At 37.1% G+C, this 17,868-nt stretch overlaps 1 long non-coding RNA gene across 2 annotated transcripts in view; it reads right to left on the bottom strand.

The window, feature by feature from the left end:
* LOC105372614 (uncharacterized) overlaps window positions 1-16,232 on the bottom strand; it is a 58,827-nt gene extending 42,595 nt beyond the window's left edge. The window contains exons 1-5 of one of the 2 annotated variants that reach the window (XR_936714.3): window positions 15,954-16,232; window positions 9,430-9,479; window positions 7,776-7,846; window positions 3,667-3,803; window positions 1,587-1,689 (exon numbers count right to left, since the gene is read on the bottom strand). This is a non-coding gene — a long non-coding RNA (uncharacterized LOC105372614). The remainder of the gene's footprint in view (window positions 1-1,586; window positions 1,690-3,666; window positions 3,804-7,775; window positions 7,847-9,429; window positions 9,480-15,953) is intronic. The other variant, XR_001754592.2, reaches the window with a different exon arrangement.
* Between the last annotated feature and the right edge of the window lie 1,636 nt (window positions 16,233-17,868).

Raw genomic sequence — 17,868 nt, 5'->3', positions numbered from 1 at the left:
CGACAGACCTCGCCTTTGCGACACTCATGTCTCTTCACCCTCACCTCAGTCCACACTAGCCCAACTTAAATTGGCCAGCCCTGCATTTCGTTGCCTGAGGGCTTCCTCTGGTTCTACGAGCCCATGCTGCCACCCACCCACAAGGCAGCCAGAACTTCCAGGAATTGATGTCTCCTGGGATCACAACTCAATAACTGACTAAAGGGCATAGTACATAGATACCCCCAACCCCTCTCTCCACAGGTGGGATAATCTGCAGACACATTTTTATACTGGCTCCTAAGGTTTCCCAAAGAGATTACGCTCCAATTATGTATTGTGGTTACTGCCTGGATAAGAAGACTTTTAGTGACTGTCTTCTGTTCCTTGTTTTGCTTCTCTTCTTTCATACTATTATATCCTAGTATTATCTCTAAGATAAAGAACTTGCACTTAAATCCTTGTCTCAAGGTCTGCTTCTGGGGAAACCAAACTGAGATACTGGTTTAAGAACATAATGGAATTGTTTGGCCTATATAACAAGGAAGTTCATGTTAGTTTCAGGAATGGCTCAATTGAGATTCTCAAGTATATTTGTTATCTTTCAAGTGTGGCTCAGTCCAGACCCTTTACCATCATCATCTTCACCATGAAACTAGAAGAGATGCTCACTGTTAGCCCCCGACATATTTTTATAGCTCAGCAAACCAAAACAAAGTATTTCTATAAAAATATATATTACATATTTTTAATAATATATATATTTCTATGCTAGACATAGAAATATAGATATATAGAAATATATAAAATATTTATTTTTATAGAAATACTGTTATATAAAAGTATTTTATATATAAAAACAAAGTATTTGAATATACATTATGTATTTTAATATATGATATATATTTCTATATAATATATAATTATATATAATATACAGAAATATATAGAATACATGTAGAAATATATAGATAATATATATATTTTCTATATATAATATGTAAATAATATATAGAGAAAATAGAAAATATGTATTTTCTCTATATATATTCTATATATATTTCTCTATATATTCTAACATATAAATATAATTTAAATATTAATAAATATATAGAGAGAAAAGTGTATATTTCTATAGATAAAATATTTTTATCTATAAAATATGTGTATTATATATAGAAAAGATATATATCTCTATATAAATATTTTTATGTGCCTGCATATATATATGCATCATTTCCAGAGAAGAATTTTGGTGGGTTCTGTGGTTATCTGTCCATCCTGCTGCAAGGGAGTGGAAGAATGACATCAATAGTCCCATGAAAAATATTTGCAATAAGGGGAAATGGTTTCACCTAGGAAATTTCAAACTAACTAACTGCAAATAAACAAAAAAGTAATACAACCAGCAAGATTTTATCCACCAAGGTCTTTGTCATGATCTTGTGAAAAGAAGCCTAGGTTGTTAACATAATGGCCTTTATTTACACTCCTTTACCTTCATTTCACCAAGCTCAAAGCAAATACTGCTAATCATTCATGATACTCCCTGTTTAGCCCAGATGTGCCTTCAAAACATTCCCAGCAGTGCCCAGCCATCTCCTTACCTCTCAAACCATCTATCTTCCATTAGTCCCAACACAGCTATCAGATCCACACTCTGCTGATGTCTTACATTCTCAGCCTCCCTTTTCCACGTGTGGTCCTCACCTAGAATGGGTAGATGACACAGCAACTTACATAATGTAGTTAAGGGACAGTGAAATAGTCTTGTGAAGCCCCAATATCACTTTCATTGTCTGTCATTTTGCTTCCATCTCTCCAATTAAATTGGCTATTTAAAAATGGGGTTAAATGGAATTCAAATCCTGGTTCTTGCATTGAAGTCTCATTGAATTTAAAAAGTCATTTAGCCTCTTCGACCTTACTTATTTTAAAATGTGAGTAATAATCTCAGTCATCTTCCCTGATGCCCCCCTACTTGGAGTATCTCAGTATCTTGGGAAAATTCCAAGGTAATCATTCTTGGTTCTTTATTACACGAATATACATAATATAGAATGCAGATAATGGGTACATGTGCTACCTCTTCCATCTGCTCTCCATGATTGACACGGCTGATCAATAATAACACCCTCTCTTAATGAATTCAAAGAAATGCTCATATTTTTCTCAGCATAGGTTCTTGCCTCAGTACTAGAGAAAGATTAGTCGTAGAATAAACAATGTTCTGGTCTCCCCTAACAAATCTTAAAACACAAAATTCTAGAGAACCAGTTTTCAAGTAACCTTATTCAGAACAAAGGTTAAGAACATGCACACACACACACATGCAAGCATCAAACATCCAAAAATGCAAACTTCACAATATCTGGTACACAATCAAGAATTACCAAGTATGCAAACAAAAACTAAAATAATAAGAAAAAAATCAATAAATTAAAACTTCCCAGTATCAGCACAGATATTAAAATTAGTAAGCAAGGACATTGGATGTATAATTTTTCTCATATGTTTAAAAATTAAGTAGAGACAGGACAAATATAAATATAAACCAAAATATTATTGGTAAAATGTAAAATGTTTGAGAGAAAGATCTATGATGTATGTAGCTTAGATATAACTGGAAGAAACATTAGTAAACTTGAAGACATGGTAATAGAAATGATGCAAAATCAAATACTTTAAAAAAGTAAAAAAGAAATGGAGAAAAGCATTAGTGATCTATAGGACGATTTTAAGAGATCTAATATACACTAAATTGGAATACCCAAAAGAGGAGAAGAAAACAAAAATTGAGGAAACAGTTGCCCAAATGTTTCCAAGTTAGATTAAAACTATAAATATGTAGATTTGAAAAGCCCTATAAACACCAAACATAGAAAACTAACCCAAAGCAGAGCATAACCAAATTTCTCAAAACAAGTGATGAGTACAAACTTTCAAAATAGACAAAGAAAAAGGACATGTTAAACACAGAAGAGCAAGTTTAGGGATAACAGTGAACTTTATGTCAGAAACCAGAAAAACAAAAGACAGTGCAACAATCTTTTAAAGTAATAAAAGGGGTAAAAAACTGTCAATGTAGAATTCTATACCCAGCAAGAGTATTTTTCAAATATGAAAGCAAACTAAAGTTTTTTTCAGACATAGAAACACTGAAATAATTTACCACCTACAGATGGTAAAGTTACACCACAAGACACAATAAAGGAAATACTTCAGGCTGAAGGAAAATAAGACGATGAAAATATGCATCTGAACCAGTGTTTCTCAAGTGTTTCTTATTATCATCCCCTAAGGAGTCTTTTTAGACTTTTTTCCCTAAGTACTAAGTCATAAAGTTTTAATGCCACAGATACACTGTATATCTATTTATGTACTGCATGCATATTCATGATTTACACACAAAAAGTAATATTTATACATAAAAAAGTATGTTGGCATCCAAGAACCAATTTCATCCTCTTGGGGGTGATGGTATTCTCACTGATGATACATCATGTATTAGTTTTCTATTGCTACTCTAACAAGTTACCACAAACTTGGTGGCTTAAAAAAACAAATTTATTATCGTATAGTTCTATAGATCATAAGACTGACACAGAGAGCACTAGGCTAAAAATCAAGATATTGGCAAAGTTGTGTTTCTTTTTGAAGGTACTGAAGGGGAATCTGTTTCCTTACCTTTTCCAGTTTCTAGATGTAACCCACATCCTTCCTCTGTCTTCAAGACCAGCAATATTGCAATCCTATGATCATTCTTCTATAGTCACGTCTTCCTCTGACCTCAGCCTCTGACTTCAGCCAGGAAAGGTTCTTTCCTTTTAGAGAATTAAGTGATTAAGTGAGGGCCTTCTGAATAATCCAGGATAAGCTCCTATTACAAGGTCCTTAACTTTGATCACATCTGCAAAATCTCTTTCATTATATATGTTAAAATATTCAAAGGGTCTGCAAATTATGACATTGACATCATGGAGGTAAAAGACTATTCTTCTGCCTAATACACATGTTTTAAACAAATAAATAGCACAAGAAATATTAAGTCTGTGGACAAATATGTAAGATTTTGTTCTTATTGTTTAAATCCTTCAAGATGCAATTGGCTGTTTAAACAAAATAATAAATATGTGATGCATACTTTATAACATATATAAAACTAAAAGGTATTACCACAGTAACAAAAAAGCCCAGAAAAGAATCAGTGGCCCACTCCTGTATTCCCAGCACTTTGGTAGGCCGAGGCGGGTGAATCACAAGGTCAGGAGTTCAAGACCAGCCTTACCAACATGGTGAAACCCCGTCTCTACTAAAAATACAAAAAAATAGCTGGGTGTAGTGGTGGGTACCTGTAATCTCAGCTACTTGGGAGGCTGAGGCAGGAGAATTGCTTGAACCTGGGAGGCAGAGGTTGCAGTGAGCTGAGATCATGCCACTGTACTTCAGCCCTGGAGACAGAGTGAAACTCTGTCTCAAAAGTAAAATAAAATAGAATAAAATAAAATAAAAATAAAAAAGCCCAGAGAAATGAAATAGAAATAGAAGTATACTATTTTAAGGTTCTTATAATGCATACAAAGTATATAATATCACTTGAAGGTAAACTGTAGTAAGTTAAGAATATATATTGTAAACTATAAACTTTAAAGCAACCAGTAAAATGTAATAATAGACAAGAGCTAAAGAATATAAAATGGAATCGCAGAAAGTACTCAATTAATTAAACAGAGGGTAGAAGAAAAAAACAGGAGAAGAAATTAGTCAGACAGAAACCAAAGAGAAAGAGAATAGATTTAAACTGAACCATATTAATAAATATATTAAATGTAAATGACCTAAACTCTCAAATTAAAAGGCTGAGATTGTCAGATTGGATAAAATAACAAAACCTAACTAAATGTTACCTATAAAAATATTGGAATATAAAGATGCAAATAGACTAAAAGTTAAATGATGGGAAAGGATATATTATACTAACACCAGTGAAATAAATACTGGCTTTTAGCTCTGACATGTAAAGGTCTTGAAGGTTATCACTTCTATTCGTACAATAAGAAAAAAAAAACCTGAACAAACCAAAAATCATGACTTTTTCTGAGTCCATCAGAGAATTGAGGTCACAGGGCAAAGTACCACCAAGAAATCTAGAAAGATAAGAAACTGCATGGTTCTGCAGCCATGACTAGCTTACTTGGAGCAGAAGTAGCTGGAGCCATTAGCTGATAGTAATGCTTAAATCATAATTTTAATAAATTGCTGGAGTCTTAGTGTGAAGTAGCTGGAGAGTGAAGAATTCCTAGAAACCACACTCTTAGGGAAGCCTCTACTGTTCCTTGGGTTTTTACCTCCTGAAAACAACAGAAAACCTACCCATTTCTCACAGTAAAGAGGCAAGAGAAAAGCCTTACATTTATGGCAGAAGGAAGGATAAAGTAACCACTTTGAAATATGCCCAGAGCATTCTCCATAAGACAAGTCTACTTGGCAAGAGAAAAGACTTTACTAAAGCCATATCCACTGTGCAGTAAGGGAAATGTCTCCATTCTCCACCCTCTACCCTTCATGTCTTACCTAATATGGGAAAAAACACTGAGATACACTTAGGATGGTCACAGATCAGAGACAGAAGCCCACTAAAAGACTGAGGCTTAATCATAGCATTATAGAAAGTGTATACCTTACCACCCTGTCATCAAAGCTTTCATATAATAACAGTGAATTACAGTTAAAAGAACTGCAAGGCACAGACTATTAAAAAGGAGTTTTTAGGAAAACTCAAACACAAAAAAGGAAAAAAAAATCAAGGACACCAGAGGAAATTGAAATCTTTAATACGCATAGATAAAGAAAACATTAAACAGAGCCAATGCCTAGCTCAGTTTCCATAGCAATGTACACAAAAGCCCTTTTACCTTAGTTCCTATTACTCAATAAGTCATGTTTAATTTTCAACAAAAGTATACATGGCATGCTAAAAGGCAAAAAAAAAATTGAAGAGACAAGCATCAGAATCAGAATCAAATATAACATAGATTTTGTAATTATCAGGCAGATAATTTTAAATAATTAATATGTTAAATGCTTTAAGGGAAAAAGTAGACAACATGTAAGAACAGATGGGTAATGTGAGCAAGTACAGAGTTGGAAATTCTAAGAAAGATCAAACAGGAAACAAAAGCACTATAACAGAAGTGAAGAATAGACTCATCAGTAGATTAGACAAAATCAAGTAAAAAAAATCAGAAGAGCTTAAATTCATGTCAATAGAAACTTCTCAAAATGAAACGAAAAAAGAATGAAAAATAAATAAAAGTACAAAATAGCCAAGAACAGTGGGGCATTCCAAAAGGTGTGACATATGTGTTATTGGTGTGCCAGAATAAAAGGGATAATGAAACAGAATAACTATTTGAATAATGGCTAAGAAATTCCCCAAATTATTGACAGGTACAAAACCTCAGATATAGAAAGCACAGAGTACCAAGCAAGAACAATGCCAAAAATCTACACTCAAATATATCAAATTCAAACTGCAGAAAACCAAACACAAGGAGAAAATCTTGAGCACTTCCAGAGGAAAAGAAACATGTTACCTCAAGGAATAAGGATGAAAATTACAGCAGATTTCTTATCAGAAACTATGCAAGCAAGAAGAAAATACAATGAAATATTAAAAGTGCCAAATAAAAAGTAAGAGAACAACCAAGAATTCTATATCAAGTGAAATTTATTTTCAAATGTTAGGGTGAAGTTCTTCAACAAGTTAAACATAGGTTTTCCACATTATTCAAAAGTTCCACTCATAGGTATATATCAAAAAAATTAAAAACATACTCAAACAAACACATGTACACTGTACACACATATTAAGATCAGCACTATTTGCAATAGTCAAAAGGTGGGAGTAACCCAAACGCCCATAAATGAATAAATGGGCAAATTATAATATGTACATACAATAAAATATTATTTAACCAGGAAAAGAAATGAAGCACTGATACATGCTACAATATGGGTGTGCCTTAACAATATTATGTCTACCAAAGGAAGCACAGGCAAAAAAGATTATATATTGTATAATTCCATTTATATAAAATATGTGATGTAGTAAATCCATAGAGACAGACCCCAATTGGTAGTTTTTAGGGCTTAGAAAGATAGAGAAATGAGATGCAACAGCTGAATAAGCACAGCATTTTCTTTTAGGGTGAAATTTTTGAACTGAATAGAGGTGATAGTTGTACAACATTGTGAGTGTACTAAATGCCATTGAACAGTTCATTTTAAAATGGTTAATTTTATGTTATATAAATTTTACCTGATTTAAAATAAAAAATGAAGAAGAAATAAAGACTTTCTTAAACATACAAAAACAGGAAATTTAGTCACAGACCTTCTGTGCAAGAAATATTAAAAGCAGTTCTTGAAAGAGAAGAAAAATGATAGGTCAGAATTTTGGATTTACCTTAGAAAAGAAAAGCATCCAGGAAGAAGGAATGAAGACAAAATTAAATCTTTCATTTTTTATATTCTTAATTGATCCAGTAGTTAACAATTTGTTAAGAAGAAAAATAGTAATATGTATTGAATAATTATAGCATATAGACAAATGAAATGAATGACAACCATTTTATAAGGAACTGGAGGGAAGAACTGACAATACTCTGTTTAAGATACCTGCATTATCCTTGAAGTGGTTTAGTGTCATTTGAAAATAAACTTAGAATAGTTGTTTACAATTACACTGTTTTCAAATGAAGTCATATTTTGAGGAGGTTAAAACTTCAACATACCTTCTTTGTTGAACACAATTCATCCCATAGCTTGAAGTATATGAGCTTTCTGTATTATCTTCTCAAATTTTCTGTAAGTATAAAAAGTGTTCTAAAACAATAAAGTCCATTTTTAAAAAATTCTGTAATGATTATATTAATATCAGACTAAATTTCAGAGCAAGAAATTTTACCAAGGATAGAAAAAAATTGTTTTATAATGATAAAGATGTAAATTCATAAGAGACATAACAATCCCAAACATTTACATGCTATATTAGTCTGTTTTTACGCAGCTGGCAAAGACGTACCTGAGACTGGGAAGAAAAAGAGGTTTAATTGGACTTATGGTTCCACATGGCTGTGGAGGCCTCAGAATCATGTAGGAGGTGAAAGGCACTTCTTACATGGTAATAGCAAGAGAAAATGAGGAAGAAGCAAAAGCAGAAACTCCTGATAAACCCATTAGATCTCGTGAGAATTATTCACTATCATGAGAATACCATGGGAAAGACCAGCCCCCATGATTCAATTACCTCCTCCTGGGTCCCTCCCACAACAGGTGGGAATTCTGGGAGATACAATTGAAGTTGAGATTTGGGTGGGGACACAGCCAAATCATATCACATGCCCAAAAACAAAGCTTCAAACACAAAAATCAGAAACTGACTAAATAGGCTGGATGCAGTGGCTCACACCTGTAATCCCAGAACTTTGGGAGGCTGAGGTGGGTGGATCACTTGAGGTCAGGAGTTCGAAACCAGCCTGGCCAACATGGTGAAACCCTGTCTCTACTAAAATTACAAAATTAGCTGGGCATGGTGGATTAAGTCTGTAATCCCAGCTACTCCAGAGGCTGAGGCAAGAGAATCACTTGAACCAGGGAGGCTGATGTTGCAGTGAGGCCAGGTTGCATCACTGCACTCCAGCCTGGGTGATAGAGTGAGACTTTATCTCTGGAAAAAAAGAAAAAAAATAAAAAAGAACTGACTAAATAACAAGAAGAAATAGACAAATCAGCAATTACAGGTGGAAACCTAGAGATTTCAATACCTCTTTCTCAATAACTGATAAAGAGGTTGACAGAAAATCAGTAAATGCAAAGAAAAGTGAATAATACACAATAAACTACTTGACTAAATTGATGTTTAGAGAACATTCCACCTAACAATACAATACAAATGCTTTTCAAGTGAACACAGAATATTTACCAAGATAAACCATATTCTGGCCCATGAAACAAGTCTTCAAATTATTAAATTAACACATTTTCAATTTTTTTTTTTTTGAGATGAAGTCTCCCTCTGTTGCCCAGGCTGGAGTACAATGGCACGATCTCAGCTCACTGCAACCTCCGCCTCCCAGGTTCAAGCAATTCTCCTGCCTCAGCCTCCTGCCTCACACAATCCTGAGTAGCTAGGATTACAGGTACACGCCACCACGCCCGGCTAATTTTTATATTTTTAGTACAGACAGGGTTTCATCATGTTGATCTGGCTGGTCTTGAACACCTGACCTCATGATCCACCCACTTCAGCCTCCCAAAGTGTTGGGATTACAGGCGTGAGCCACGGTGCCCGGGCTAAAATTTTAAAGTTGTAAAAAATATGTTCTTTGACCATGGTAAAATCAAATTAAAATGAAAAACAGAAATATCTGAACACAAATAACATACCTCTAGATAAGTTCTGGGTCAAAGGTGAAATCAAAATAAAGTACTTTGAACTAAATGAAAAGGAAAACAATACATTAAAATTTGCATTTGTGAGATACTACTAAAGCAGTACGTAGAGGAAAATTTATAGCAATAAGTGACCCTTCTTTGCTGCAGTACATATTTCCCAAAGGAGTATGTGTCCTTTCTGTCTATGGTCTCTGTCTATGGTTCTTTTTTGGTACAACAACTGTCCATTTTAGTGATGGTGGTCCACTCATGGCAGAGCACATCCATTCTGTCCCTTCCCACAATGTCCACCATGGCCCCACTCACTCTATCCTGACACCTAGATGTGCATTTCTCATTGTCAGTTTAATTACTGGTATATACAGGACGGAAGAGACAGAGAGGATGCAATAATGAAAATCACAGATGCAGATGGCCCTGGAGCCCTTCTGCATTTGCTCCACCCTGAGGAATTCGGGGTCACTAAGGTACAACAGGACCCTGTTTTCTTCCTGCTATTAGGAATATGGCATCCTGCACTTTGCTCTGGTTTCTTTGATTTTCTTGTGTCCCTCAGAAACTAGCTTCTCCTTTCCTTTGAAAGAAAAAAAAATGTATTTTTCAGAAAGATAGGTTTCCTGAGGCTGGCATATAGCTGCACCCATGGAAGGCCTAATAAAGCTTTGAGAAGCAGACTAAGATGAGAAATCTGTGGACACAGAGCCTAGCTCATCAAAAGTACTCAATAAATGCTTGTTCTATAGATGAATAAATAAATGAACTGATTTGTGCCTACAAGTGTTGGAAAATTTGTCTGTCTCTCCTTAATCTGGATTTATGTGTAGTTATATGCGCACACACCCTGTACCCAAGGTTGATGAAACGGGTCTCAGGCCTGAATGCATGACCTTCCTGGTCCGTCCTTGTCCTTGAATCCCCCTATCCCACACTCAGTCGGAGCCCTCTGCGCCCAATTCAGAATTTTCCCCACGCTGATTCTAATCTTCCTCGGCAAAGTGCTGTGGTTTTCCTCTTCCCAGAGAAACACCTACCAGCAGGGAGGGAAATGTATGCATAGTATCCTGGGCATTCAGGAGTAAAATGCCAAGCTTCTGTTAAGTATATACGTTGTGAGGAGAGCTGGGAGATAATGCAGATAAGCTTTTTTTTTTTTCCTTTTGAGAGAGGATCTCGCTGTGTCACCCATGCTGAAGTTCAGTGGCATGATCTCAGCTCACTGCAGCCTCGACATCCCTGAGCTCAGGCGATCCTGCCATCTCAGCCTCCCAAGTAGCTGGGACTACAGTCATGAGCCACCAAGCCCAGATAATTTTTTTGTATTTTTTTTTTTTTTGTAGAGATGGGGTTTTGCCATGTTGCCCAGGCTGGTCTCAAACTCCTGGGCTCAAACAATTCACCCATTTCAGTTTCTCAAAGTGTTAGGATTGCAGGCGTGAGCCACCGTGCCCAGCTGCAGATAAGCTCTTTTATCCAGCATTTGAACCACTGCACGATTTACTTGCTATTTTAGATCCATCAGGAATCACTGACATCTTACTCTTTAGGCTCTGAAACATTTAATCTTGAACTAATGCTGACTAAGAGCACTGTACATTAGCTATGTAAACCATATCTTGAAGCACACAGAGGTGAACACCATCTCTTTGCAGCCTGTAAGAGAAACCGTAGGTTTTTTCTTGCTCTAGAGCTAGAGCTCTGCAAAACAGAGGCCTTAAAATGGAAACATCAGAGGAGCAAATTGTCTTCAAAGTTACAAGACTGCTTTAAATTCTGGTTCTTCCACTTTATTTGGGCAAGTGATAAATCTCTCTGGAACCCAGTCTTTTTGTCTGGATAACAGTAATAATACTACTACTTCCCACAAAGGAACATTAGGATAATTAAATTAGGTAATCTGTATAAGCATCTAGCACACTGCCTGGCACATAATCAATGCATTCTTCAAACAAGGAAATTCACTGTTTAACCACCTAGTGGAGGAGTAAAAAGTCAAAATAATTTCTCATAAGGGTATTAAGTAAAATCTGAGCATCCTGACCACTTCCTTGGGATATGACTAAGATAAACATACAAGGAATGGATTTCTCTAGAAGGAAAGATGCTTAAATCAGAGCTCAAATTGTAGACTCTTTTAGTACACACAGAACTGTCTACATCGGAAAGCAAATACTGACATATTTGATGTAGTTCAGATATTTGCCCCCTCCAAATCTCATGAGGAAACTTGATGTCCTATGTTAGAAGTGGGGCCGAGCAGGAGGTGTTTGGGTCATAGGGGTGGATTCTTCATGAATGGCTTGACGAAGTTCTCATGGTAATGAGTGAGTTTTTATTCCATTAGTTCCTGAAAGATCTGATTGCTAAAAAGAGCATGACACCTTCCTCTTCTTTCTCTTTCTTGCTCTCTCTCTCTCTCACATTGTGACATGTTGGCTCCCCATTCCCTTCTGCCATGATTGGAACCTTCCTAAGGCCCTCACAGGAAGCAGATGGAGGTGTTGGGCTTCTTACAGTCTGCAGACCTGTGAACCAAATAAACCTCTTTTCTTTGTAGATCACCCAGAAATATGTCTCTATAGCAGCACAAAACCAATCAGCACATTAAAAGTCATGCATAGACTATGTTCAGTGAAGTATACTAGATTAAATCCTTGAACAAAAAAGAACAATCATGGAAAAATTGGTGAAACCCAAATAAAGTCTGGAGGTTAGTTAGTAATTTACCAGTGTTGATTTTATAGTTCTGGCAAATATACCATAATATATAATATGTTCACATCAGGAAAAGCTAGAAGAAATATACCAGGAATTCTGGACTAGCTTTGAGACCTTTATACAAATCTAAAGTTATTCCAAAAAGTTTTTTAATTTATTTAAATGAATCAAATAGATCTCTTCGACCTTTAGAGAACCTTCCACAGTGGACTCATTCAGACTCACAGTCCTGTATTTAATGTTAACTTTCGGGCTGATACCTGGAGGGGCTGGAGAGCTTAAGTTCCACTCCTTCCCTGGGTGAAGCTGGCATGAGTGTCACGTGGGCTGCATTATTTTGACTGTTTTTCTCATTTCCCTAAAGCTGACTGTGGCAGAGGGGCCTATTCCAGGCTAGGAACTGCTCACCAGGTTAGCTTAACCTTAGAGAAAGATGAGGTGTTAGAATGGAAAAGTGGCCAAGATTTTGGTTTTCCTGAGCTCATTTTTCTCAGAAAAGCCAATGAGTGCCTAATGACTCTGCACCCACTGCCCCTGCACATACACAGTCTTTGAACAATGTCCCTGACTGTAGCCAAGAAAATTCCTAGTAGCTTCTTTAAAACCCAGATAAAGGCCCCTAGATCTGCCTCACTGATAGGTTAATAAAACAGGAATATAGAGTGCAAGATATCATTTTATTGAACAGTTACACTGATTTAAGATTAGTTTTGAATATTTCGTGTAGTTATGAAAGTCTTATCCCATGACAAGAGAAGACTGAGGCTCAGAGAGAATAGGGCCTGGTCAAGGCCACATCAGTAGGTAGGAGGAGCCATGCAGAGCTGGAGCCACATAGAAACTCCAGTTTCTCCCCTCTTCCTTCAGATACATATAGACACAGTTCTTGCCGAGATCAAGGTATCTCTGACTTCACAAAATCTATGCTGGGCAAACATGCCAAGTGCTTGACACGCATTTAATCCTAGTAACACCTACCCGTTATTATCCCCATTTTACAGAAGAGGTAAATAAGGCTTAGGAAGCTTTAGTAACTTACTCAAGATTTACATAGTTTAAACAATGTCAGGGCTGTACTGCATATTCAGCCAATCTGATTCTAGAGCCTGAATTTTTAATCACTTTATGACTCAGTGAATATTTGTTAAATGAATGACAAACAATTTTGGGGGATGCATTGCATCACAGTCTCAATAATAACATACCTTTCACCCCATATCTGCAGTGAGATATGTTCAAACTCTGCTAGACAGTGAGATAAAGGCTGTGAATCTTTCTAGTCTTGGCAGGGATTTGAATGGATACTGAGAAACAGGAAAGCACAAGTAGAGGGGGAAGAAAAGAAAGTACTTGTCACTACCATTAAAATTTGAAATGAGATGAGCAGTGATGACAGCTAAAACCTGAGCAAGTCTAGCTTTTCAGAACAGAAGTGGTGGGAAGAGTAACAGAAGGAGCTGGAAGTCTTCATCTTTCTACTTACCACTTCTAACGTGATTTTCACCAAGCAAGGTCTGGAAAGGACAAAATATTGTCTGTAAGAAAGGCTCCAGAGGATCTTAAGAGGCATTGTGGATATGAATGGAGCAAAAAGACGAGAGTTTAAGCCTCTGCCTTGCAAGGTGGGTGGCAGGAATGTACCTTAGAAGGCACCTGAGCTGCATCATCTCCTGTAGGACTCCCTTTCGTTTCTACTGGAGTGGACAGTCCCAGCAAGGCCAGAGAACATTCTACTCCCCTGGTTACCTTTGCATTTTCCTCTTCTCTCTCTTCTTGTGCAAACTTGCTTAATGTGCTTAATTTTAATGGTGCTTAATATGTGGTAAGGAGAAAAATACCGCCGCAAATATTTTCACTGAGAGAGAAAAAGATCACAAAATGTAAAGAAAATCTTGGCTTTGCCTCTCACTAGCTGTGGGTGCATGACTTTGGGTAAAGATTTGCAGCCCCCTGGGCCTCTTTCTTTAAGAAATGGGATAACGGTCCCTAACCACCATGGTTCTGAGAAATAGACATCATCTCTCCAGAGTCTCTAGCACAGCAGAGTAGATGCCCTGTACAACTTGTTTTTATATTACTATCTTTATTGTCATCATTGTCTATTATATAAAACTTGTTTACTTTAGCAGAGTCTCATAGCCACATGCCATCCAAACACAAGAGCTGAGGTCACATGTCCCCCGAATTCTGATGCCACCCAGGCAGATGAAAGCACGAGCCTAAACAGGGCTTATCATCAGAGCGGAGAAATGAGGAAGTTCATCTGGGCTGGAAAAAGAAAAAATGTGTCCAAGTTGGCGGAAGGAAGCCTTTCCAGAACTGCTTCATCCATTGCCTGATTCTGTAAGCTAGAAGGGGAAATGCCACCTCAATATTGAGTGCTCAAAAAGATGGTCTTTGTTATCAATAGGCAGATTGGCAATAAAATTCCACCTGAGCTCTAACTTGGAAAAATTGACTAGCAAGAACACCCATAACTAACAAACACAAAATAAAATTAAGCCTTAACTTTGGGAAATACTACTGTTGATTTTTTCTCTTCTTTTTCTTGGTTTCTAATGAATTTGGTTTAAAAATAGGACAAAACACTGTGTTAAAACCCAACAGTTCGTTGTAAGATTCCAGATGGGGTGGAAAAGGCTGAAGAGAGGCTAATATCTGTTAAAAAAAAAAACAAAAAAAAAACCCAGGGTAAATAAAACTGCACAACAGGCCAGGTGCAGTGACTCCCGTCTGTAATCCCAGCACTTTGGGAGGCCGAGGTAGGCAGGCCACCTGAGGTCAGGAGATCGAGAACAGCCTGGCCAACATTGTGAAACCCCATCTCTACTAAAAATACAAAAATTAGCCAGGTATGGTGGCATGTGCTAGCGTGTGCCTGTAATCCCAGCTACCCAGGAGACTGAGGAAAGAGAAGCCCTGGAACCCTGGAGGCGGAGGCTACAGTGAGCCGAGATTGTGCCACTGCACTCCAGCCTGAGTGACAGAGGAAAACCCCATCTCAAAAAACAAAACAAAACAAAACTGCACAACAAAATAATAGTGGTATCAAAAATAATAATAGTATCAACAACAACAACAACAATAGCAAAATAACGAATATCTGTATAGAGCTTTAACATCAGATTGAGAGGAGAAGGATGGCAGGGAAAAATGAAGGAAGTAAAGGGGAAGAAAAGAAAGAAAGAGATGGAGAGAGGGAAATTATTTTTTTAAGTCTTAATTTTATACGAGATAACAATGCAATACTTTTAATCTTTCTTTTAGTCTTCACAACAACCTCATGAATTGTCTGTCATTTTTCATATAAAAAAAACTGAGACAAAGATATCGGACAACTTCTTCAGTCTTATAGCTAGTAAGTATCAAAGATGGAACTGTTGACCTGGCTTCCTGATCCATCTTTCTTGGCTGGTCTTGGGAGTGAGGGTAGCATGGGGCGTCAGGCTGTACTTAGGTGATATCCCCATAAAGTCATCATCCCACTCCTTGAAGTAATGGCCTGATTTTTCTGTCAATTCACACCAGTGAAAAGATGTTCTAGGTCGTCTTCCTTACTCCTCACTCTACTTCTGTGATTTTTTTTTTCAGTGCCAGTGAGTGCTCAGATATATAAGTTTAGATCACCCCGTAGCTGGTAAAAGGAAGACAGAGGCCCAGGTATCCTGGACTTTTGCTCTCTGGACTTTTTTTTTTTTTTTTTTTTTGGACTATCCCCTTTCTTTTTTTCTTTCTTTCTTTTTAATTTTCTTATGGTGATTCTAATCTGACTTGTTTTTATGTCCTCTCATCTTTCTTACCAAGTTGGAGTGTTTTTTTCTTCTTTCAAGGCAGTTGTTTCCAATAAATCCTCACTTGTTTTCTTGGAGTTGCTTAGTTATTTTAAGATTCTTCTTCCACAGGCCTCTGTCTGCATTTCTGCTTTCCATCTGGGCCACTCAGTCCTCTCCTTTGCTGGAATGAAGACAAAAGAAGCCATTAGATGGAAACTTACAGAGCTTGACCTTCTCCTGGGAGCAGAAAGACATGGTGAAGGAATGGATCAAGTCTGCTGATCTTTCCAGCACTTTTATTATATCTCAGATTGACTAGAAACACAGTTAGAGACACCTTGACTGGCCAATAGGCAATGTTACCAGCCCCCTGAAAAGGCAGTCTAGTTCAACATTGAATGAGACCTTTGATCTGAGTGCTTCTGTGTACATCTATAAATCAGGGTCATGGTAGAAAGCAGATAGCACAATCAAACTTGGCAACTTCAAAAGTGTTTAGTAAAGCAACTATTTACAAAGGCATAAGCAGGTTGCAGAGTAACCATAAGGGCACACCACAGTGTAGTGTTCTGGGGATAGCAATACCAGAACTCTGTGACTGCCCTAGACCTGAAGGGATGAGGACAGAGAGCAGTCCCCTGGAGAAAAACAGTCATATGGCAGAAGCTGTAATCTTGGTCAACACATGAAGCCACGCATGATACCTCATAGGAAGGGAGATGACAGAACACATTAATTCCCTTCACTCTTCTTTCTCTCTGAATTTTTCTGCTGACCCCAACCAGAAGCCAAAAGTTGAGAGGACTCATTGAGGTTGGCCACACTTGTCAGACTTCTGGATCGCAGAACAGAGTAAAAGTGGATGTAGAATTGATCTGGAAGTGTAGATGGAAGTTATGCAACTGAGTCTGCATGCATGTGCACATACCTCTGTACTCACATACATATGCACATGTGCACATGAGTATGTGTTAGGCTGATGAAAATAAATATATTTAGTGTTAATGCAGGAACCATTCAGGGGCTGCCCCCTTGCTCTCTTTGGCCTGTATAAGTTTTCCTCTGGTTTTAATTATTGAATATATAAAAAGCAAAGAAAAGTACTGGGAGGTAAAAAGCCTCCCTGGGTTTAGGTATGTGTTGAAAACTGTCTTCAGATATCAAGATGGCAAAAGATTCCATCTAAGGTTGAGATACATCAAAAATAAAGACCTGTACATATTTCTAAAGAACTAATTCCAGAAGAAGTGAAAGTCATGTCAAGGATGAATGTTTCTTTTTGAAGAGGTATACTCCAGCAGCTCTCCTGAGCAGGTAAAATTAGAGACTTATCCAACTGGTGGGTCATTCAGGAAAAAATGACATTTTTTTTCCAGGAGCTACAGGTGAGATTGAATTCAAGAGTTGAGTTAAGACTTTGGTGAATATCCAAAGTAGAATTCAGAGAAGAGACTCTTAGAGGGATGACATGCTGGTAAGTCATGCAGAGTCAATATTCAATAATTGGCACATCAGACAATCCTCTTAACAGAGCACATTATTCATATTCTCATTATACCACTTGTTATTTTGTGGTGTGTTGTTGCCATGTGTTTCTCTACCATTATGTCACAAAGTTCCCAAGAGGATTTGTCTGAGCTTGTTGGCTGCCATATCCCTAATATGACTTGGCATATAGGAGATCCATGGAGGTAATCTGTTGAAAGAATGAATATTGATATTTATCCCTTTCAAGGAATCTACATAGGACTAGGATTTACTTTTGAATTCCACTATATTGGGCCAAGAAAGATCTATCCATGTCATGCAGGCTTCACGTTAACCAAATGTTTCATAAGGTCCAAACCCAGGGGGGAAGCCTCCCATGTGTTTTCAGGTGGACAAGACTCATCACAGTTGACCTGTGCTCCTGTCTTCTTGGTCTAGCCTTTTCCAAGTTCAG

The sequence above is a fragment of the Homo sapiens genome, chromosome 20 (assembly GCF_000001405.40).
Source record: "Homo sapiens chromosome 20, GRCh38.p14 Primary Assembly".
NCBI lineage: Eukaryota > Metazoa > Chordata > Mammalia > Primates > Hominidae > Homo > Homo sapiens.
The sequence above is the reverse complement of the archived record's forward strand: the minus strand, read 5'-3'. Positions and strand labels throughout refer to the sequence as shown.